The sequence below is a fragment of the Homo sapiens genome, chromosome 3, assembly GCF_000001405.40.
Source record: "Homo sapiens chromosome 3, GRCh38.p14 Primary Assembly".
NCBI classification, from domain to species: Eukaryota; Metazoa; Chordata; class Mammalia; order Primates; family Hominidae; genus Homo; species Homo sapiens.
In genome coordinates this window covers 16,312,020-16,335,915 of record NC_000003.12, presented here as the reverse complement: position 1 = coordinate 16,335,915, position 23,896 = coordinate 16,312,020, and the positions used below count along the sequence as shown (strand labels likewise).

Sequence of the window (23,896 nt, the reverse complement as noted above, 5' to 3'; positions counted from 1 at the left end):
GCCACTTCCCTCCTGCGGAGTCCTGCCTGTGGCCTCCTGAGACCTCACCATCCATCCATCCAGTTTCCAGGCTCCTTGTGACTTGCCCTCTTGAGATATTTGATGGTGTGATCAAACTCCTTTTTTTTTTTTTTTTTTTAAAGTTCCAGGGTGCAAGTGCAGGATATGCAGGCTTGTTACATAGGTAAACGTGTGCCATGTGTGTTGCTGCTCAGATCAGGCTATCACCTAGGTATGAAGCCCAGCATCCATTAGCTATTTTTCCTGATGCTCTCCCTCCTCCCACACCTCCAACAGGTCCCAGTGTGTGTTGCTCCCCACCATGTGTCCATGTGTTTTCACATGTGTTTTCACCGTTCAGCTCTCCCACTTGTAAGTGAGAACATGTGGTGTTTGATTTTCTGTTCCTGCGTTAGTTTGCTAAGGATAACAGCTTCCAGCTCCATCCATGTCCCCACAAAGGACGTGATTCGTTCCTTTTTAAGGCTGCATAGCATTATGGACTGGATAAAGAAAATGTGGTACAAACTCCCTTCTTAAGCCTGTTTCCCATGCAGGATTGTCCAAGGGCTGATTCCTTCCCACTCAGCCCATTTTCGTTCATCTTCTGCTCACCCCCTCACAAGGAAATCCAGCCCTCAGCCAGCCTCATCCCTCCAGGAGTTTTCACCTACCCTGCATCTGTCAGCACCTCCAAGTGTTTATCCCCATCCCAGCCTTTTCCTGGCCCTGAGCTGTGGATTAATTTCCTGTTGCTGCGGCAACAAATCACAGATTTAGTGACTTAAAACAACGCAAGTTTATTGTCTTACATTTGTTGAGTCAGAAGTCTGAAATGAGTATTAAGGGGCTAAAACCAAGGTGTTGACAGGACCACATTCTTTGTGGAGACTTTTAGGAGACAATCTGTTACCGACCATTGCCAGCTTCTGGAAGCTGCCCATGTTCCTTGGCTCGTGGCCCCTTCCCTGCATCACTCCAGCCTCTGCTGCTGCCATCACATCTCTTCCTCTGACTCTGGCCTTCCTGCCTGTCCTTATAAGGACCCCTGTGATTATACTGGGCACACCTGGATAATCCTGGATAAACTCTCCATCTCAAGATCCTTAGCTTAATCATATCTGCCACATCCCTTTACCATGCGAAGGGAACATTTTCACAGGCTCCTGGGATTAGGCTGTAGACATCTTTGGGGCCATTATTCTGTCTACCACAGGCTGTTTCATTTAGTTGCCTCCTGGACATTTCCATAGGTTCCTCAAACTCAGGGTGTCTAGAATAGAATTCATTCCCTCTCATTGTCCCTCTTCATCCTGTATGCCCCGGCTCAACACATGAGCAGCCATTGCCCAGTTCTCTGAGCTGTTGTCTGGGTGAAACATAATGTTAAATACAAATCCAGCACTGATGGGCACTTGAGTAGTTTCCAGTGTCTTGCTACTGCAGACCGCTCTCCAGTGAATAACTCTGTGCATTTCTCATTTTTTAATACGTAGGTTAAATTCCCAGAAGTGAGATTGTTGGGTCAAAGGGAAAATGTGTTTGTAATTTTGAAAGATACTGTCAAACTGTTCTCCAGGAGGGTTGAATCAATGAGCCCTTCCACTAGCAATGTACAAGAACGCATGCTTCCCCACGGCCTTGGCAACAAAGCGGGCTGCCTAACTTTTGGGTTTTTACCAGTTCAATAGGTGAAAAAATAGTATCTCAGGGTATTTTTTGTTGTTGTTTTTTGTTTTTGTTTTTGTTTTGAGACAGAGTCTTGCTCTGTCGCCCAGGCTGGAGTGCAGTGGCACGATCTCGGCTCACTGCAGCTTCTGCCTCCTAGGTTCAAGCCATTCTCCTGCCTCAGCCTCCCAAGTAGCTGGGACTACAGGCACCCGCCACCATGCCCGGCTAATTTTTTAAATTTTTAGTAGAGACGGGGTTTCACCGTGTTAGCCCGGATGGTCTCGATCTCCTGACCTCGTGCTCTACCCGCGTCGGCCTCCCAAAGTGCTGGGATTACAGGCGTGAGCCACCACGCCCGGCTGGTAGTTTTAATTTGCATTTTTCTTATGAGATTCTGCATTTCTCTCATGCACTTAGTGGGTGTTTGAATCTTCTGTGATCTCTCTTCATATCTTTGGCCCTTTTAAAATTTGGATTATTGGATTTTTTCTTTTCAATTTTTACAAGCCCTTTTTTTTCTGTAATATGAGCTGCAAACATTTTTCCATTTTGTCATTTGTCTTTTATATCATATGAGTTTTTATGTAATCAAATTTGTCATTTTTATTTTTTGGTTTCTGGATTCTAAGTTATTTAGAAAGGCCTTCCAGTGTTCACTTTAAACATTAAAATAATAACATTTTATTAAATGAGGGGGATTGGACACAGGCATCTATTTCTTTTCTGAAAAATCCTCATGAAATGAAACTAAAGGAATGACATAATTAGATAGATACAGGCAATTCTCATATTCTCAGATTCTGTATTTGCAAATTCATCTGCTTACTAAAATTTATTGTAATCCCAAAATCAATACAAATGGCATTTTGTGGCCATTTGCAAACATGTGCAGAACAGCAAAAATTTTGAGTTGCCTAATGTGCACTTTTCTAGCTAAGGTCAAACAAGGTAATATTGTGCCTGGTTTCAATGTTCATACTAAAAGCAAGTGTCCTTTTTGTGGTACACATAGTGCCACATTTTTCACATTTTTGTGCTTTTTGTTGGTGATTTAGCTGTTAAAAATAGCCCCTATGCATAGTGCTGAAGTACTGTTGCCTAGTGTTCCTAAGTGCAGGAATGCTATGATGTGCTTTACAAAGCAAATACCAGTGAGCTTTGTTCAGGCATGAGTTATAGTGCTGTTGGCTGCAAGTTCAATGTTCATGAATCAACACTATCTATTAAACAAGGTTATATATTGATCAGTTTGCAAAACTGTTGCGACCAGATGCTTCCAAGACCCTAACCCTATATTTCTCTTATGGGCAATGGTTCAATAGTCACTAATGCACTGTTCACAATGACTTTACAGAACATAGCTACCAAGAATAATGAGGTTCAATTGTAGGTAGGTAGGTAGGTAGATAAATCGATGCCCACAAGAACAAAAAGATTAGAAGAAGATAAAGTAGAAGATGAGTGATTTCAACAAATTTTTAGATAGATGGAAAGTAGATAGAGGAATCTAACTAATTTAGCAAAATGAAGGAAGCTACAACCTGGACGAGAAGGGTGCCATTTGTTTCTTGCAGAACCCAAGAAAAGCTTTGGTTTTCAAAGCATAAATCACCATGGGATGGGAGGTTGGGGGATGTGAACTGCAGAGCAGAAAACCAGGGTACTGGTTTAAAATCCTAACGTGGCGTGGTAAGATCCCTAGTTCCCCATCTCTGTCACATGCAACCTGGGAACCGTGGAGATAATGTAGGTATCAGAAGAAACCATTTAAAGAGATAAAATAAATGTATCCATGAAGCAAAAACAAGATGCTGTAAAAAAAAAAAAGAAGCAATCAAAAGATAAGAAAGGGCTTTTGAATCTTAAAAATAGGGCAGCAGAAAATTTAAAAAACATAAAAGTTGGAAGACAAAATGAAGGAAATCTCTCAGAAAGCAAAATTAAAAGAGTAAGAAAACTGTGGGGGAAGGTAATAAAATTAAAACATTTATCACACATTTTGATTAATAGCAGGTCCAGAAAAAAAGAAGATAGAAAAGGGAGGGGAGAAAACTTATCAAAGGGGGGAAAAATACATTTTTCAGAACTGAAGGACAAGAATCTTCAGATTGCAAGGCCATCAGGTGAACAATCCTTTGAGTAAAAAAGACCCACACCAAAGCACATTGTCATGAAATTCCGGAACTTCTAGGGGAGAAAAAAAAAATCCTAAAAACTTTCAAAGCAATACAACAGGTTACAGTTAAAATATTAGTAATCAGAATAGATTATCTCAATAGCATTGCTGACATCTAGAAACTACTAGAGGTACTTTCAAAATTTTGACGGATAAATCAATTTCAGCCCAGACGTCTGTACCTAAACTATTAGTTAACACAAAGGCATTTTTAGAAATGCACGGATTCAGATGACTTCTAGGGCATTGTTGCCTAGAGAGTCACTACAGGATGTGCTCCTGCAAAATGAGAAGGAAACCAAAAAAAGAGAACATACCAGCCATAGACAGTAATTTACGAAGAACCCAGGCATGAAAAGCAGCCAGACCAGATTAGAGCAAAGTTTCAGAAATGATGTCTCCAGTGGGGAAAAATGGAACTAATGTATTTAGGATCTTGGAATATTTATCGATGAGCATTAAATAGGGGTATTGCAACATGTGGGATAAATTAGTGATGGGTTCAGGTACAACCAGGAAGATGAAAAAAATGGAGGTAATAATTAACTCCAGGAAAAACAGAGGGTTATATAAAAAAGAAGGCATGGTCATAGTGCATTATTTGACCCAGCATTGAGCAATATTTGCAAAACTGTGATAACACAAACATTGACTTTTGATTTACTTTAAATTACAAAATAACCATTTGGAGCACAAAGAAAAAGGAAATAAGAAATGTTTATGGGAGCACTAAACCTTTATTTCCCATGGTAGAAAATTAGGATACCTAAAACTGATAAGTAAAATAAGAGTAGTATAAGCACACCCTGCCAGTAATTTGTGGGCACTAGTGTTTTGGTAGCAATTTTACAAAAGACACAGAAGTAGTTTTTGCAGGACTCTCCCTTACATACCCTAATTGGTGAAAGGCAAGGTCTCAGTCCTGTGGATGTCAGGAATAGAGGCAAACTGTCCCCAGTCACTTTTCTCAGGTATGGAGAACACCCCAGAAGTGGTCTCAAGCACCTTTCAGACAAGGGAAATCAAATTCCTTTCTTCATTTACAATCATGTATAAAGAGCAAAATATTTTCTTTCAAACTCCTTTTCTCCTAGATTGCTTCCACAGGATGAAACACAGGAGAAAAGAAGAGCAAACTGACATTCAGAATGCAAACTTTCTCACTGGACCAATTTATGAATTCCTAATTATTTCTCTGCATAGAAGATCTTTTAAATCATCAAAAGACAAACATATTTCTTAGTAAACTCTACATTCTGTTGTCCTAATTTTTGGAGGGTAAAGAAAGGTTGTGTAGGATGTCTATTTCTTTAGTTGATTTGCAATCACTGGAGAAATTATAGGGAACAAAGGAAAAAAGAGCCATAAATACAAATGAATTCCTTTTATACGAGTTGAAAAACCACAGGACATGCTCCATTTTTTAACACTCCAGGTGTGATCGGAGATTACGTATCCACCACAGGAGAGTGGAGAGTTAATTAAAATTTTTGCTCCTACTCAGAGAAAGAAATGTCTTTTTGTTTGATAAGCAGGCTGGCTTTTGAGTGTTGTTGGTGCTTTCTTCTCTCCTCACTGGAGTGTCACAAAAAAGCAGATCAAAGAGAGCCTTCCATCCGGATATGTTTCCTACCACCTTTCTTAGCTAATGGACTTAAAAGTGTCTTTCACTGACAGGCTCATCTTGTATTTTAGAAATGCCATCTCTTTACTATATTGATAAATATGCAAACGGGCTGTGATAGATGCTTACGGAAAATCACATTTAACATTAATTAAGCCAAGACCATTCCAAATAGTCGGAGTGGGAGAGTCTGGCAGAGTGCAACATCTCACCCCTACCATTTGTATTTTACTTGTCAACTCACCATGTGATGGCCAGAAATTAACACGTGAGATTGAACCTTCAGCTCTCTCAAGCAGGGTTGTTTTGTTGTGTTTTCCCTTTTGCTTTTGGCCTTTATGATTCTGTACCCTCTGGCTGACATCTCCTACCCTGAGGGGGAAAAAATGTTTGGGAGAAATCCTGCTGATTTTTTCTTTAAGAGAGTGACAAAATGAAATAAAACGGAGCAAAATAGAAGCAGCCGGTTTGCAGTCTGTCTAAGCAGGCGGGTCGGGCTGCAGCAGGGGTCGTTCATTGTCTCGCAGCTCTGGGTGCCCGCAGAGAAAACCTGGCCCGAGATGCAGCCACCAATAAAAGGACTCCATTCTGCCACTCAGGGCTTTGTGAGGCGCCAAAGCTTGTCCTGGTTGCCATGGCTACTGTCTGATTGTGGCGGGTTTGTCACAGTGCTTGATAAAGTGGGAAGGTTATTCTTGATAGGCCCAAGTAATCATAACCTCGCAAAGCTTGAGAGTGTGGATTTAAAATTGGTTTTCCTCCTCTCTTTAAACTGGGAATACGGGGATGGGGGCAGGGATTCTCAGGATAAAGCAGCCTCAGGACTCCTTCAGCAGGTGGTGAGCGTGGCACCCAGCAGGAGGAATACGGGCTGTGCTGGTCTGGAAGGGAGGTGTGCGTGTGCCCAGAGGCCAGGCAGAAAGGATGGTCACAACTGCTGGGCCATCTCTGGCCTGATAGAGGCTTCAGGGAAGGGACCAGAATGGCATTCTCTCCTGGCCCCACCTGTAAACGGATTATTCTTGTACCTCTCTCTCCTTTCCTCCCTTCCCTCCTCCCTTCCGCCTTCCTTTATTAAGTTTCCTCTTTCCCTTTCCCTTTCTCCACTTCCGCCCTGTCTCGGTCCACTTGTGCTGTTGTAACAGGATACCTGAGATCAGGCAATTTATAAAGGACAGACAGTTCTTGGCTCCTGGTCCTGGAGGCTGGGAAGTCCAAGGTCGAGGGCCTGGCATCTTGTGAGGGCCTTCTTGCTGCGTCATCCCGAGGCGGAAGCGCAGAAAAGAGGGGAGAGAGCAGGAGACTGAACTTGTAGCCTCAAGCCCTTTGCCTGAGTTGGCATTAACCCATTCACAAGAGTGGAGCCCTTCTGACCTAAACACTCCCACCAGGCCTCACCATTCAATGTCATTGCATTGGGGATTAAGTTTTCAACACATGGAAACTTTTTGGGGGATACATTCAAACCTTAGCACTTTCCTTCTTTTCTCCCCTTGCAGTGTGGCAGAATTTCTAACAGAGCTGATCCTTTAAAAATATATATTTTTTTCTCATGGAGAATGATGGGAAAAAGTTAGATTTGAGGCAACAGCTGATAGATTCTGGCCACAGAATTACAGACTTTTCTTTTGCCAGGAGGGACCTACATGATTACCTAGGCGATGGTTCTCAGACTTAGCTGCATCAGGACTACTGGGAAGGGCTTTTTAAAACACAGATTCCGGGGCCCTACTCCCGGAGTTCCTGATTCATCAGGTCTGGGATGGGGCCCTGAGAATCTGGGCTTCTAACAAGTTGCCAGGTGATGCTGATGCTGCCGGCTCGGGCCATGCTTTGGGAACCGACATAGACCAGTACCCATTTTATACAGCGGAGGAAAGGGAGGCTGCCAAGGGATAAATTAGTCGCCAAGGGTTCAGGTGACTTGATAGCCACTCTGGAACTGGTGTCCAGTTATAGAAGCTTTAAAAGCCATTTGAAGAGACAGGGCAGGTAGGTTGTTCCTCCTCTGCCTTCCATCCCACTCGCCCAGGGCATCCAGATGAGCTGGTTTTGTTCCCAAAGGGCCACCAGCAGGATAGCCACTCACCACACGTGGCCACCTTCTGAGTGGAGCACTCCAGACCATGGTCACGCGCGCTGCCTCTGAGTTAAGCCGACCACAGACCTTGGCACTCTAGGCCCAGCTTTGCCTTCTAATTTTTGCCCCAGGAAGCCTGCTTTGACTGTGGCTGGGATCTCTCCCACCTCTGCTGGCATTCAAAGTCCCATGGCCCTGCCAGAGAGCCCTTAGGTTTTTCAGTTCCTGGCATGTTTGTGCTGTTGCCCCTGCTAGCCTGTGAACTCCAGGGGCCGGGGCTGTGCCTTTGCACCCATCATGGCTCTAGAGTACCTGATAAATGAACTATGTGGGCATACAGGGTGGAAGGAATCTGGATACATGTTTGAGATTTTCGGAAGCCAACTACAAGAAGCCAAACTATGAGGGATGAGGAGTCCAGTTACACACAGAGCAGGGGTGGGGGCTACACTTTGAGTGTTAGTGAGGAACCCGTAGTAAGAAATGAGGCCTGTTGCAGTGAGAACGCCTGCAGAGGTGGAAGCCAGTGCAGGGGCCTCACATCAGGGCTCTCTCCCTGTGCTAGCAGGGGGCTGAAGTTTTTTTCGTTTTGTTTTTTTTTTTGAGATGGGAATCCCGCTCTGTCACCCAGGCTGGAGTGCAGTGGTGCCATCTCAGCTCACTGCAAGCTCCACCTCCCGGGTTCACGCCATTCTCCTGCCTCAGCCTCCCGAGTAGCTGGGACTACAGGCGCCCGCCACCAGGCCTGGCTAATTTTTTTTGTATTTTTAGTAGAGACGGGGTTTCACTGTGTTAGCCAGGATGGTCTTGATCTCCTGACCATGTGATCCACCTGCCTCAGCCTCCCAAAGTGCTGGGATTACAGACGTGAGCCACAGCACCCGGCCGGGGCTGAGTTTTTTAACTGAAAGACAAATGTTAGTTCCCCAAATCCTAATTTGAAATAAAACATGGCAGCATTCATTTATCCCTGCAAGGCAGGGCACATAACACAGGCAAAGCAGCTTCTGCGTGTACACACACATGTGGATGTGCATGTGTGTGTTGCTGTGGCTGGACATAAACGACTTGATCATTTGTCAAATGTAAGTTAACTCCCCACAACACGCTCTGAACTCATTCAGAGCAGCACGTGTAGTTATATGCCCTGGATACCGCTCAGAGGTGAGACAGTTATGCTTCGTCAGTGAAACTCACAGGAGGCTATTTGTCCAGACAAGAATCAAACAAAATTAATGGATTAATCTTTTGGCTGTAATTCCTTGCTGACATCACAGACTGAAATGGGGCCCAGAAGGAAATCCCATGTTGGCAGTTTGACTCCAAACTTTTAAAGTCTTCAGCAAGCATCGGAGCAGGAGCCTCTGAGTGGCCGGGCACCGCCACTTCTTTTCTGTTTTGCGGATTGGCAGACTGAATAGTCCCCTCTCATTGCCTGGGAGTTGGCTTGTGGCAGCAGCAGCCCTAATGCTGGCCTTGTTCCCCCAGGGTGTCGAAGTGCAGACAGACTACGTGCCCCTGCTGAACTCGCTGGCGGCCTATGGCTGGCAGCTCACCTGTGTGCTACCAACTCCCGTCGTCAAGACTACCAGGTAACAATAACAGTAATCATTAGGATTCTATTGAACACTTACTCTGTGCTAGTCACTGTTCCTAATGAGCACCTCACGTCTATAAATTATTTAATCCTGTGCAAGAGGCTGGTAGTTATGTAAACTCTCCCACTGGGAAGCAGCAGAGCCAGAATTTCACATTCTTAACCACCGTCACCCAGAGAACTCCCCTGCACCCCTCTTCCCACATGGGGGGCCCTGTGAGTCATTACTGCCCAGAATGTCAAAGATGAGCCGCTCAGACTGAGAGGGCTCAGAGCCTCCAATGCAAAAGAAATTCAGCACCTACTATGTGCCTTGTGCTAGGCTAGGTAGGCACTTTATATATAAAAATCTCAGTCCTCAAAAAGAAAAGAAAAATACTATGAGGTAGAATTGTATTATTATTAAACCCATTTTGCAGCTGAGGAAAGTGTAGCCAGGGAGGTTGAGGGACTTGGCCAAGATCAAGCACTGGTCACCAGCTCCACAAAGGGGCTGTAAAGGCCTGCCTTTCAGGCCTTGGTGCGGCATTCCTTATAATTTCAGGTTCATGCTCATTTGTCCACTCTCAGCTCTGCTTACGCTCCCTTGAGCCCAGTCACACCAACCATAAAAGGCCCTCCATCTATATGTTGGGCTTACTATCCAAATTAGTCTTGCCCTGTGGGGTTGTAAGCATGGATATGATTCCCATTTTGCAGATGAGGAAACTGAGGCTAGGGGAGGCTTGGTCACATACTTAAGGCTACCCAGCCAGTAAGTGGCAGAAACTGGGCCTAGAACCTCAGTCTGCAGAATCAGGCACTTTTCCTGGAGCAGGCCGTCTCTCTGCTGACCAGCAAGGATGCCCCCGCTGTGGCCCCCAGAGCTCCACCTTCCCCAAGCCCTACTGCATATTCACCACTGCAGAGTGATGGACAGCATGGGGCAAGGCTGGCAAACCAGGGTGATTGAGAGTGCAGAATCATGGTGACAACTGATGTCTTTCCTAGTCCCTCCTCTGGCTCACCAGGATCCTCAGATTCCACATTAGGTCACAGTGGGTCAGTGCACCAGGGGGAGCCAGTCTGCGGCCACTTTTGAGCCCCTTGGCCACTGGAAACCACCATGTTCTTTCTCAGCCAAGACTTCGACAGGCATAGGGCAATGCAGTGGTGTAGAAAGAACCCTGGATTTGGGGCCTGAAGACTTGAACCCAAGTCTTCAGTCTGCCACTTACCCACTGTGTCATGTTGGTCAAGTGACATAGCTTCTCTGAGTCAGTTTCCTGGTCAATTTCCAGAAGACAAGACTCAGAATGTATTTGAATGTGAAGGCCCAGCTGGTTCTGAGCCACCTAAGCCCAGGGGCTACAGACAGGTCTCTCTGTCTCAGACCTTCACACCTGCTAAATAATCCTTCCTAATCCTCCACCTCCCTGTTCCTTAAATGACCACTTACGGTGGAATGGAGACTGTGTGGAACTGGGTAGATCTGTGTTTGAATCCTCACTGTGTGATCTCCAGCCTGCTCTTGAGCTGAGCTTTTGTTTCCTTCTATAAAAGTGGTAGTTGGATTCCGTGGAGCATTGAGGTGAAGCTTAAATGAGCCATTATGTGTGAATTCACCCAGCCTAGCCGCTACACAAAATAGGTGCAGAGTAAATATTAGTTCTCTCCCTCCTTTTTCTTACAGACTTTGTAGCTGAATGCAGTAACATGTAAAGAAATTTACAAAACAGATTTAAGAAATGCAAATTAAAACCACAGTGAGATATAGCCTCACACTGATTGGGATGGCTATTATAAAAAAGACAAGGGTATAGAGAAAAGAGAACCCTTGTACACTCTTGGTGGGATTGTAAATTAATATAGCCATTATGGAAAATAGTACAGAGGTTTCTCAGAAAACTAAAGATAGACTTAGCACATGATCCAGCAAACCCACTTCTAGGTATATATCCAAAGGAACTGAAATCAGTATGCAGAAGAGGGATCTGCATTTCCATGATCCTTGCAGCATTATTCACAACAGCTAAGAAATGGAAACAACTTAGGTGTCCCTCATCAGATGGATGAAGAAAATGTGATATATATATATAAAATACACACACACACACACACACACACACACACACACACACAATGGAATACTATGCAACCTTAAAAGGGGGGGGGTCAGGGACATTCTGTTATTTATTACAAGGATGAGCCTGGAAGACACTATGCTAAGTGAAATAAACCAGGCACAGAATGACATACCTTATAATCTCTCTCATACGTGGAATCTAAAAAAGTTGAGTCATAGAAGCAGAGAGTAGAATGGTGTTTACCAGAGGCTGGGGAGTGGGGCGGATGGGCAAACGAGAGATGTTGATCAAAGGGTACAAAGTTTCAGTTAGGAGGAATAAGCCTTGGTCATCTATTGCACAGAATGGTGACTATTATAAACAATAATGCCTTGTATAGTTTACAGTTCCTAAAAGAGTAGCTTTTAAATGTTTTCACCACAAAAAGTGCTAAGTATGTGAGGTGATGGATTTGTTAAGTAGCCTGATTTAATCAGTCCACATTGTAAACATATATCAAAACATCACACTCTACCCCATAAATATACAATTATTATTTGTAAATTAAAAATAAAATACAAAATCATCAGAAGGGTGGAAGCAGGGGAAAAAAAAAACAGTGATCTTCTTTACAATACTTCTATCATCTTTAGAGGCAGCTCCAGGTCCTGCCTTCCTGGGAAGAGAGAATTCACTGTATTGTAAGATACGAGTCGCCCCTCCCTCGCATGTGAGCCAGAGCTGGTTAACAGGCACTGCCTTGCAGGGCCCGCCTGGTGCTGTGCAGTCTTTGGTGTGCCTGCAGGAGCCATGCATGGCTGAGACCCTGGATGCAGCCATGACCTCTGTCCACTGTCCTGTAGCAGCTGGAGGGCTGAGCTCATCACCCAGGTCCTTATCTACCTGCCCATCATTACCAGAGACAGATTTGGAAAAGGCCCCTGCCCCTTTGAGATCCACTGAAGCAGCCAGTGTGTCCACATTTGGCCAAGATGCTGTTACTTCCCATTAAGGGAATGGGCGTGTCCAGCTAGGAAGCTGACTTTGTAGGGATACCCAAAAAGCTTTTGTTGGGCATCTGAGATAGCCCCTCGGAAGCAAGGTTGGATGGCCTGGGAGCGGAAGAGTAGAGCAGGCGTCTCTTCTAACCTGTCATAATCCTGTGGGTGGTCTGCTTTGATGAAATTAGGGATGGCAACATCTGTGTCAGGTTTTGGGTTCCTCTAAGGCATAAAGTGGCTCATTCTCAGCTCCGTGTGTTACAGCGAGGGGAGTGTATCCACCAAGCAGATTGTCTTTCTTCAGAGACCTTGTCTACCTCAGAAAATCAAGAAGAAGGAATCGAAGGTAAGAGACTTTGATGGCCTTCCTAGGTTTTCCTCAGCAGGGCTTCATCTTCAGTGGATTTTCTGCAGCATTTGAGGGGGCAGCCTGCTCCAGCTTCCAAGGGCTCGCAGAGCCCAAGGAACACCTGAGCCCCTGGCAACCCGAATCACATCTCAGGCTGCTAAAACGGGACAGCTGAGGGGACTGGAGGGCCTTGTCTGCCATCGTCCTGCTGGGCCGGCCAGAAGGATGGAGGAGAGAGGCTCTTCTGGAGGCTTCAGCCTGCTAGATATTCCCACTAGGATGAAAAGAAGGGCACGAAGTCAGCTGCAGCCTGACCATGGGGTGGGGATGGCTCGAGCTCATGGCCAGTTTCTTTGTGTCTTAATCTCATTATCAGCTAGTTGGAGCTCTGGCCTGCCCTGTTAAGATTCCTTAGGACATTAAAAGTGTGGGGATCTAAGCAGAGACCCTGCCAAAATTTCTTCATGACAGGCCTAGACCCAAAGGCCTCTGTGTGACAGCTGGTGATGCTAGCTGTAGCCTGTGGCAGCAAGTCCTCAGGCCAGGCTGTCCTCAAGAGATCCCCAGGGCCCTTTTCCCCCTCTCCGGACTCTGAACTACCCTAGAAACAGTCGCACAGAGACTGGCCTTCTCAGAGAGTCTTCTCTGTGATTCCTGAAGGTTGAGCACAAGGGCTGTACGAGGTGCAAGTGTCGGCAACCCTTGTGCCAGATGATTCTGATGCTTCCCACCCCACCCTGAGCAGCCTGTGGTGCTTTTCCTGAGGACATTTTCACCAGTTGCTGGGGAAGAGGCCAGTGAGTCGAGTGGACACACCAAAGCCTGAGTCAGGCATCACCTGGATTCAGCTCACTGCACCTTTGATGGCTGAGGCCACATTCTCGGCAGGGCCTGCCTGACCTGCTCGGCTCCTCACTCCTGGCATCACTCCTGCATTCCTCACGCTTGGTTCCTCATGTTCTTTGGACACAGAGCCCTGGGAAGGAGCATCAAGTAAATGAACAGATTGGAGCAGCCCCTCACCAGCCAACAACTCCAGGGGGAGCCCACTTGTGGAAGGAGTGCCAAAGCAATGGTGACTTGAAGCCAGATGGGCTGGAGTGTGGAGGAAGGTCTTTCTCCAGGCTCTGAAGGTGTAATGTGACAGGTGACGGCACAATGGACCAGAAGGGAACTGCCAGCCCACCATCAACCACCAGGAGCAGGCAGCCACCAGCTGGAAGATGGATCGGCTGCAGAGCGCTGTCAGTTTCAGCTCAGCCACAGGCTCACGGGAACTGCATGCATTCAGCAAGTGCAACATTCAACACACAGCACGCAAAGGGCCCCTGTCAGATGCTGACAGACACCCGCTGCAGCCTTACAGAGGGAGATGGTGCCACCTTTGCCTAACAGGTTCCTGGTGGTGGGGCACACAGATTCCAAAGGAGAGACATGTGGTTGGATGTTGGTGTGAAGGTCATGGCATCGCATGCAGGGGGACAAGTCAGTGGAAACTTGAGTCGGCAGGGAGACTTTAGAGATAGATTTGTAAAAGCTGCTGTAATAAGGTTGAACTGACTCTCCTCAGGGAAAATTCAGAGAGGATGGGACCCACTGTTTTTTCAGTCAGTAAAAACTTCTAATCCCAAGCAGCTGTACTCATCTGGGTGGACTGCTTTCTCTTTCCATGTACCTAATTATTTCCTGCCTCATTCCAAGACTGTAGGTGACTGGTGTGGAGCACTTGTTCTACACAAGACCCTCTGGGTCACCTCACAGATGGGAGTCCTCCAGAGAGGGGGGCTTCACAGCCAGACTCCTTGGAAGAATCTTCTGCACTGGGTGTCCCCTCCTCACTCCTCAGCTGACAAGGGTCAGCGTCCTACTCCCACAGGCCTGTGTCCCCTGGTGACCGAGAGTCACTCCATCTAGTCCTCATCATGCCTGAGCTCTTGCAGCCCGGATGTTGGGACCACCCCCACTCCCTGAAGCAGCTTTTCTCTTGGTTCTTTCCCACCTCATTCTCCTGGTTTCCCACTAAGTTCCTCAGGGTTCAGACCCAGCCCCATTTCTCCCTTCACTCTTGCCTCTTCCTTAGAAAATCTCCTTCACCACCTCTGTGCCAATGACCATTCCGCCTGCATTTTCAGCCCTCACTGCACCCCAAGACTCCAGCTCCATCCATCCTGTGGCTCGAGGAAACCTATGACTGTCCCCCTCCCCATACCTCGCCCACCTGGCCAACCGCCACCCTATCTAGAGGAATGGCATTGCACCTTAGGGGCTATCCCTGCTGACCCTCCCCTCTCCTTCCCCTATATTCAATCTATCCTTAAGACCCATCTGTGTTAGGTCCCGGAGGCTCTGGAATCCCTCCACTTCTCTCTACCATCACTCGCCTCAGCTATTCTAATCTCCTAATAATAGATATCCCCTTCAAATAGGTTCCCTATTCAGAGCCCAAGTGATCTGTTAAAAAGGGAACTTGAATCCTGTCATCCCACTGCTCAAAGGAGTTCTAGTTTTGTATGACTCTGAAGACAAAGATGGAAATCAGTACTGTGGCCCTCAAGGCCCCAAGGGATCTGGTCCCTCTTACCTCCTCTGCCAGCCTCCCATTCTCTGTGGCCTCCAGCTCCTCTGTGGCCTCCAGTTCTTCCGTGTCCCCTCTGCCAAGGACATTCTCCTCCTTTCTAGCTCTACTCGAGCATCCTTTTCTCAGAACAGTGCTGTCTCCTTTTATACCAAACCAGACTCCTTTGTACTACCCTGGAAAAGAACCACGTTCTTCTCCTTCAGAGCTCTCCTTTGGGCTTTTAGTTATTTGTGATCATTATTTTATCCTTCCCAGGCAGAGTCAGACATAGTCTCCACAAGAGCAAAGACCTTTTTCCTGTGTTGTGTACCCAGATTTTAGTTGGTGCTCAACAGATACTTGTCGAATCAATGAATGAGTAATCAGCTTCTTAGCGAGGACACACATAGTATGTCTAGCATTAAAACTTAAGAAAAGAAACTGCAAGATTGGCACACCGAGGATGTGGCATATTTAGTCTTCTTTTAATCAGCAACATGGATAGATTTTTCTAATCAGGACTTTTCAGCATTGGAAAGAAACCTCTGTGTACGTGCGTGTGATTTTCAAGGCAAATATTAAACTTCTTCAAAGGGAGTAGGTGATTTCTACAACTCGGGAAGACTTCCTTCCAGCTAAACTACTTGAAGTGGACACATCATGGGCAGTTTTTAAAATGTGCAAATTAAATCCATTGGCTCCTGCTGACATGGAACTCTGGACACACACTGCTGTAAAGTGAAGGATTTCTTTTTTTCTTTTAGACAGTTATTTCTGAATTGGGCGGCTAATTGGATTTGGTGACACACCCAACTGCCACAGATGCTCTGGCTTGGGAAGGCCCCCAACTCAGTGCAACCTGTTTTATCTGCGGCTTGCTGGTTAAGCTCAGAGACTCCCCCGGTCCTACTCAAAACCTGGAGTCCATTCCCCAGGCTGGACTTGCCTGCCTTTAAGTGGTGTGGATGTCAGAGCTCACCTCAGAGGCTCAACTGAAATCTGGCACAGTCCAGGCCTCCTCTTGCTTTCTGAGACGTCTCCTTTTTGAATTGTTGGGATCTGAAACAGTTTTTGTTGTTTGTTTTCTACCATTTGTGTTCTCGTTTTGTATTATATCAGCAGATCAACAAGATGTGATCTTCTACAGGAAACTGGATGTGGCCAGGCATCCAGGGGAAACTATGGAAGCTCTGTTATTTAGCAAGAGCAGCCCCGGAGAGAGTATCTGGGCTCATATTAGATGGAAGGTCTAGCACGTGGTGGAATTGTCCTCAGTTGTACACTGCACAACAGCAGAGGGCGCTATTCACATCAAATACAATATGAATGGGGCCCTGGAGGTGTGCACCGCAGCCCTGGAGGTAGAGACAACCATTTTAGAGATGAGTAACTTGAAACTCAGATTCATAACCTGCCTAAAGACTGACAGCTAATGAGTGCCAGCACTAGGATTTGAACCCATACTATAATGCTTTGACATTTTAGCACTTAAGGCCTCTTAGCCAAAACAATCACCACTTTTTTGGCAACAGTAAAACTTCCTCTGACTTCCCTGAGAGCCAACTGCCTCTCGGAGTACTATACTACACAGGTAGGCTTCACTGGTCCTTTTCTAAAAACACGTAAAATGATATAAAATGTGAAGAGGCTCTGACTGTTTTGGAACATCCATTAAAAAAAAGGAGAGACTCTTACATTTGGGCTGGAATTAAAATGCAACGGCAGCTGCCTAACACAGGGCAGCAGTTACGAACCATAACACGGTGCCTGGAAACTATGGAGGCTTGGTGGAGGCAGCCACGGTCATGCTGAGGGCTAAAATCAGGGGCCTCCTCTGGTGGGTTTGGAGCCTCGAGATGCCTGCCTGGCAGGCTCGGCTTAAGTAGGAGGTGGGTCTGAGACACCACTTAGCCTACAGAGTGATTCCATTATTGGGATCCTCACAGTTTGGGTGGAAGAAGCTCCACCCATCTCCTAAGGGAAGTCTGTCAGCTACAGTACGAGACATTTCAAAAGAAGTCAAAGGAGAAACCCATCCAACATTGTAAGTGAACTCATTTGGGTTTTTTGGGGGATACAGGGTGGGAAAGGACCAGATAAATGTTAAATCCTAACCTCAACATGTATTTCACTCATGTTTCTCTACTTTAATGGAACATTCCATTACCATTCTTATCTAAAAGGTGCTAAATCCAAGAATCCTATAATGTATTAAATCTCAGAATTCTGTGTTTGGGCAAATGTTTTATCTGAGGAAACAGATCTCTACCGTGGAAAACTACAAAAATGGCAGATTTTTAAACATTTACATAGCACATTTTTGGTTTTTCCTAGCAAAGCGCTCAGAATGATTTACAACATACTAAAGCCTTAAGAAATCATTTCCCACTGATGGTGCAACTGCATTCCTGGGCTCCTCTCTCTAGCCCAGCAAGAAATCATAGGAACTGAGAGCTCCCTTTTTCTCTCAATTATATAATGTCTAAGATTTAAGTGCGTATTTGGTGAAACCAATGAGATAACAGCTGAAGCACAAGGAAGTGGCCATGGTGGGAACTGAAAACTAAAACCCCACGTGCACTCTGGGCCACCGAGATGAGAAATTCAGATTGAGAAACTTGGCCGGTCAGTGACGGAGCTGGGGCTCGCTCTCGGGTGGTCTTGCTCCAGAGATTTGATGAGACCCTGGTTGTTGCCCAACTCTATTACTGGCCGCGTGACCTTGGGACTCTGAGCCCCTGACTTCCCTGTCACACCAGGAAATGCTTGGTTGCAGGTTGGGCCCCCGGGAAGCGGCCTCTGAGATTGGAAGTTTTTAGAGGGAGTTACCTTAGAACACTTGTCGGTACAGTAGCGGGCAGAGGGAGAATTTGGGCTGTGATGCAGTCACAATCCCCCAGGTTGGCTTGGAGCTGGGATGGCATTTGCGTTATCCCAAATTGGGATCAGGAAATGGGTTGTTGTATCCCACCTGGGGCAGTCATTGGTTGTAGGTTGCCCTGGTGTGACCCTTCTGTGAGGTGGTGGTCAGCAAAGGGCTATCGGCCTAGCTGGGGAGCGGGCCCGCCAGTCCTGTGGGGGGATCTGAGCGGTACAGCACAGTGTCTGCCCCATGTTCTGGGCCCTGCCTTACTCAGGTGACCTAGTGAGAGAATGCCAGCCCCGTGCCTGGTAATCCTCAGCCTGCTCAGAATGGAAATGAGTAGCTGCAGCTCTGGCTCTTACTGGGGGCAGGCCTCACATCTCCTCTCCATCCTGGCCCTCCAAATGATAGGACTTTAGGAGCCCTTTCCTATGTGGGCCTTTGGTATAGAGCCAGTCAAAAGAAATACTGCTCTGCCCCAACAGAACCTGAAATCTACATCTAAAATACACATCCTGGAAGGTGTGGTGCAGGCTCTTGGGGTGGGTGTGATGTGATAGTGTGCGATTCAAGTTTGGTGCCTGTACTGCCTGGCTGGGGGATGCTGGGAATTGTATGTCTCACTCAGACATGGTGTGGGTATGAATGCAAACAAGGCTTTGGGTGAAGCTCTGGGTTCCCGGAGGCTTGTTATTTATCCCCATCCTTTCTGATTTCTAGTTTCAGTGGCGATTCTCCAGAGAAGAAATGCACAACAGGCAGATGAGGAAATCAAAAGGTAAACTCAGTGCCAGAGACAAACAACAAGCAGAAGAAAATGAGAAGAACTTAGAAGACCAGTCTTCCAAAGCTGGAGACATGGGAAACTGTGTTTCAGGACAGCAGCAGGAGGGTGGAGTCTCCGAGGAGATGAAGGGCCCTGTCCAAGAGGACAAGGGAGAACAGCTGTCCCCTGGTGGCCTGCTGTGTGGGGTGGGTGTGGAGGGTGAGGCTGTGCAGAATGGTCCTGCCAGCCACAGCAGGGCCCTGGTGGGGATTTGCACTGGGCACTCCAATCCTGGAGAGGATGCCAGGGACGGGGATGCTGAGGAAGTCAGAGAGCTTGGTACGGTTGAAGAAAACTGAGTCTTGGGCAATTTGTGCTAAAACTAGGTGAGTTGCCAAACCCAAGGCATCTTACCAACAGCTGGTTTGGGGGCTGGTTTCCCTGGTGTTGTGTGTTACCTACCCTTTGGCTTGGCTTGACCTCTCCTTGTGAGCTCACCTGAGCCCTCCCAGGGCCAGGTTCCTGACAGTGTTGGTTTTTGCACATCCACTGGAAAGGTGTCATTAATGACCCAGTGTTAGAATGCAAGAGGTCAGGTTATTCTAGCCCTCATGGCTGAAGGCCCAGTCCTGGCTCCACCACTCCTCCAGCCAGAGGGTCTGGACCATCCAGTGCCTGTCCTCGCCACAGGGCCTCCAGGGAGCATTCGGGTCAAATCCATGGACACCCTGGGCTACAAACCAAGGCTGCTGTTCATCCCACATCGTGTGGGGCAGTGTCCATCCCCTGCAGCTACTTGGTGACTTAACAACTCCAGGAGCCCTGTCAGCTGCCCTCCTCCACCTAAACCCCTTCGACTCTTCTGCTTTGACAAAGAAAATGACATTGGGGAGGGGAGGTGCTCCGCCTCCCAGCTTTTCTCAAAATAGTCCTATAGATACTGGTAATCTGGAAATGAAGAAGTAATTCTGTCTCTGCACCTACTTTTGCAGAATGTTCAAGGAAGTATTCTGTGTTAGTATTAATGCCAAAAAGTTGTTTTTAAAGGTTTTGTACTCAGCACATCATACAAACCACATTACTTCTGTCACTTCAGGGCATCGGGACTGGCTGGCGCCCTTGTTATGTGCTATTTTAATCAGTGTAACATTGGTCAAGTTGTTACCCATGTATGCTGTGTTTATCATGTGTATATCGTCCAGAAAGTATTAAGGCTTTAGGTAGATGCAACTGGCGAACCTTGGAGAGGGAATGCTGATTGTCTTGACCAAACCCACAGCCTGTCTCTTCTCTTGTTTAGTTACTTACGGCAATAAATCATCTATGAGTTAGTGCACCGTGAGGATTGAGTGTTTATCGTGTCACTAGGAACAGTCCTGGCCTCATGTCCAAAGGATTCCAGCCCACACCCCCCATTCACTATAAGTTTCTAACTCCTGGCAGCATGATGACGTGGTGGAGGAAGACAAAGTTCCCATGGAAAGCTGCAGAGCCAGCTAGGCTTGCTGTGCTTTCTCGTCATTTGTAGAAAGAGATGGCAAGTGGAACTCAGATGCCACCAGGTAAGTAAGGGGTACAGCCACCTCCCATTTCTGGGATGGTGGAGACAAATACCTTTTTAAAATAAGCAAAAAACCTTACATCAGTGTCTAACAAACATTGTTTCCAAGCTTTTAAGTAAATTAGTGAGGCAAGTTATTTCTGAATAACTTTTTAAATTAGTGAGGCAAGTCTTTTCCCTTTGCAAGTTTATTAAAATAAAACATTTGTAGGCCAGGCATGGTGGCTCATGCCTGTAATCCCAGCACTTTGGGAGGCTGAGGCAGGCTGATCACCTGAGGTCAGGAGTTCGAGACCAGCCTGGCCAACGTGGTGAAACCCCGTCTCTACTAAAAATACAAAAATTAGCTGGGCGTGGTGGCGGGTGCTTGTAATCTCAGCTACTCGGGAGGCTGAGGCAGGAGAATTGCTTGAACCTGGGAGGCAGAGATTGCAGTGAGCCGAGACTGCACCACTGCACTCCAGTCTGGGCACAGAGCAAGACTCCATCTCAGAAAAACAAAACAAAACCACAAACATTTGTAATATATTTTTATAGAGCAAAATGTAAAACCTTTGTACAGCCACATCACATAGCTTTTTCTTCTTGACAAACTCCCCACCCAACCCTCAGAGCTTAAAGAGGTTGAAGGCCCTGTTCAAAGAGAAGACAACTATTTTTTAATGACATTTTCCACAACTAAGTCAATGTCTATACAGCATTTTGATTTAATAAAAACATTATCTCTTGGCACATATCTTAAAGGATCATGATTTTAAAAATATATGCTAGTCAGCAACAGGCCAGGACAAAAACACCACACTCAACTTTGAAAAGCAAACGGTTCCAGGCTAGAGGGCCTTACATTGCTCAGCTTTGGGTACATTTTTCAATTAATTAATTGACATTTATGTTGGCTGTATTTGCTATGGGGAAAAAAAGGTGACAATAATTTGAATTCCTCAAGAGAGTTTGGCCCTAGTGTCAGGCTAACAGTTCCTAAAGGTCTTGTTTTTTCTCCCTTGCTTCTCTACACCCTGCTGATTCTGGCAAAAATCAGTCTACAGTGGAGGGTGTTAAGTTAGCAGCAGCTTGAAATCACTGAGGAAGCTATACAAAATCCTGATGCCGGGGCTCGCCTGCAGAGCTTGTGAATGAATGATCTGGGGAGTGGCGTGGGCATCAGGATTTTTAAAAGCTCCCAGAGGACTCTAGGTGCAGCCAAAGTTGAATACCACTGGCCACAGGGTCTCTGTCAGTTGAAACACAGCTTGTGAAATAAAATGCTTTCTACAAGTGGTAAATAATAAAGGCCCTAAAATCCATTCTCAACATCCTGCATGTACATTTCAAGTGGAGGCATTTCTGAAGGAAATGTTAAGTTCCCTGTGATTGCCAATAGGGTAAAAAGCCATCATTTGCACTGACCAGGTCCCACGGACAGTAAAAGCCACAAAGACATACAGGGTTTGGCATGAGGAAGCTTGTGCACTTGGCAGTTAAGTCTGTGAGGCTGCAGCTGTCACAGTGGGTTTGCAGGGGAGTCCTGCAAACCCACTGTGATCAGGTGGTTATCAGGTGATTGAAATGTGGCATTCCTACGATGTTGTGGCTGAATCCAGATTCTTTCACTGGGAAGCTGTTTTCAACTACTTCACCTGCAGAGGCTCAGGAGAGGGTAGTGGGTGAAGTTTAGCACCACTGGCAGGGCAATGATGGGAGGAAGAAGAATTCTTATCTAATCTGCTTAAAGAAAGGCAGGTGCATTGCTCTGAAGTGCATATAGCCACAAGGTCAAAATACTGACACATGGAAAGCCTGAGGAAATCTATGTTAATGAAGTAGTAACACTGTTTTGGGCTTGGTGTAGTGGAAAAGCCCAGCTGGGCTTTGGAATCAGACAGAGCTGGTGAGGATGCTAACTAGACCCAGTCTACATGTGTAACCTCCTCAGTTTCTTCACAGCTCTGAGCATCAATCGCCTCAAGTGTGAAATGGGGTGAAATGGCACCCACCTCTTTGGATTTTTGTGAGGATTAATAAGATGTGAATAAAGTGCTTGGTCCATGGTAAGTACTCTGTGGGTAGCAGTTAATCACATGCTGATAGGTAATCAATGTGGCAGATACTGTTAGTGCCCACCCAATATCCATGGAAGTATATCCTCTACTCCCCAGCTTCTCTTGCAGTTTGGGGCCATGAGACTGGTTCTGGCAATGAGACAGGAGCAGGTCTGATAAAAGCTTCAGGGACTCCCAGCCCATCATCTCCAACACCCTCAGCACAGTTCAAGATGGACCATGAGGCTGGGTGTGGTGGCTCACGCCTATAGTCCCAGCACTTTGGGAGGCTGAGACAGAAGGATCGCTTGAGCTCAGGAGTTCGAGACCAGCCTGGGCAACATAGCAAGAACTTGCCTCTGCAAAAAAAAAAAAAAAAAATCCGCTGGGTGTGGTGGTACATGTACCAGCTACTTGGGAGGCTAAAGTGAGAGAATTGCTTGAGCCCAGGAGGTCGAGGGTGCAGTGAGCTGTGGGCACACCACTGCACTCCAGCCTGGACAATAGAACAAGACCCTGTCAAAAAAAAAAAAAAGATGGATCTTGACATGGGCGTTAAATAAACCTTTGCTAAGGTGAGCCACTGAGATTTTGAGATTTATTGGCTACTGAAGCGTAGTATATCCCATCTTAACAGAAATACTGTAATAATATTTATAAAGTCTTAAATTATTTATCAATGGTTTATAAGTAACAAAAAGGTAAACATTAGTCAAATGCCTGTCAGATTTTTTCAGATCTCCAGGTTGACCATGCTTCACTAGAGTTGCTGATGCTTGATGGGAGCAGCTTCCAAAAACATTAGCAGGAGGTATTCTAATTTATTTCTTATGAAGCACATTTTATCAGTACTCTAAACATATTCATCATGGCCCTCTCTAAACCACAAAATCGTTCAGGAATAGCTCTCAGGTGTAGACAGTGCTTATTAGTAGGAATAGGTTGACCCCAAACTCACGACTCGTGCAACCCACTCTAGCTGAGCTCCTAGCTGGCATAGGGGCACTGTGCTGCAGGGAGCACACAGTCTGGGCTCTGTCCTGCTAGGGCTCACAGCAGCCTAAGATTGAAGATCAAGTCCTGAAAGGACTGGCAAGACGGGAAGGGTGAGGATGACTGGTGTGTGTGGCCAGGAGAAGCTCGGCACTGACTCCCAGTTGTTGCCACAGATCTTGTTTCCAAGAGCCCTGCTGGAAGTGCTGGAGGCCAACTGCGTGAGTAGTGCAGGGTGGGCCCCTGGTGATTAGTGCTCTGCCTGCACTATGACCCGCCAAAACCACTGATGCAGCTTCCCAGGAGAGGCTGGGTTTCCTGTACCTGGCTCCTAGAGTTTTGAACAGGGAAGTGTGTGGACATGAGATCTAAGGACAAGACCCAATGAGCCTTTGGCTAGGTTTCTGAGGCAGCTGTTGCCAGAGAAGGAAGCAAAGTGATGTTCACCACAGGTTCCTGTTGATAACAATCGTTTCAGTGGCTAGACTAAGAAAATGAACCCTGGCTGCAGATGAATGGCTCTCTGAACCTGGCTGGTGCTTGCTTCCCCAGCCCTTGCACAACAGCGGCATGT

At 46.4% G+C, this 23,896-nt stretch overlaps 2 protein-coding genes across 27 annotated transcripts in view, besides 1 other annotated feature; one reads left to right on the top strand and one right to left on the bottom strand.

Moving 5' to 3' along the window:
* RFTN1 (raftlin, lipid raft linker 1) overlaps positions 1–20,071 on the top strand; it is a 197,855-nt gene extending 177,784 nt beyond the window's left edge. For all 10 annotated transcript variants that reach the window (XM_017006007.3, NM_015150.2, XM_047447783.1 and 7 more), the window contains 3 exons: positions 9,040–9,143; positions 12,459–12,540; positions 18,684–20,071. In XM_017006007.3, the coding sequence (XP_016861496.1) occupies positions 9,040–9,143; positions 12,459–12,540; positions 18,684–18,745 (248 nt within the window). In that variant the 3' untranslated portion in view covers positions 18,746–20,071. The remainder of the gene's footprint in view (positions 1–9,039; positions 9,144–12,458; positions 12,541–18,683) is intronic.
* The window catches only part of OXNAD1 (oxidoreductase NAD binding domain containing 1), an 86,884-nt gene that overhangs the window by 16,180 nt on the left and 46,808 nt on the right, over positions 1–23,896 (bottom strand). For 3 of the 17 annotated variants that reach the window (XM_011534235.4, NM_001352981.2, NM_001352977.2), the window contains one exon: positions 11,436–12,817. The exons of 8 other annotated variants lie outside the window; for them this stretch is intronic. The gene's annotated coding sequence lies outside the window, so the exon portion shown is untranslated. Of the gene's footprint in view, positions 1–11,435; positions 16,456–23,896 lie in introns of those variants that run through there. 6 more of the 17 variants (NR_148217.2, NR_148219.2, XR_007095766.1 and 3 more) reach the window with 5 other exon arrangements.
* Positions 4,280–4,574: an enhancer, noted in NCBI's record as "tiled region #2856; HepG2 Activating DNase matched - State 6:EnhF". NCBI's record gives its function as "activates a minimal TATA promoter and a strong SV40 promoter by Sharpr-MPRA in HepG2 cells {active_cell/tissue: HepG2}" and the evidence as "EXISTENCE:reporter gene assay evidence [ECO:0000049][PMID:27701403]".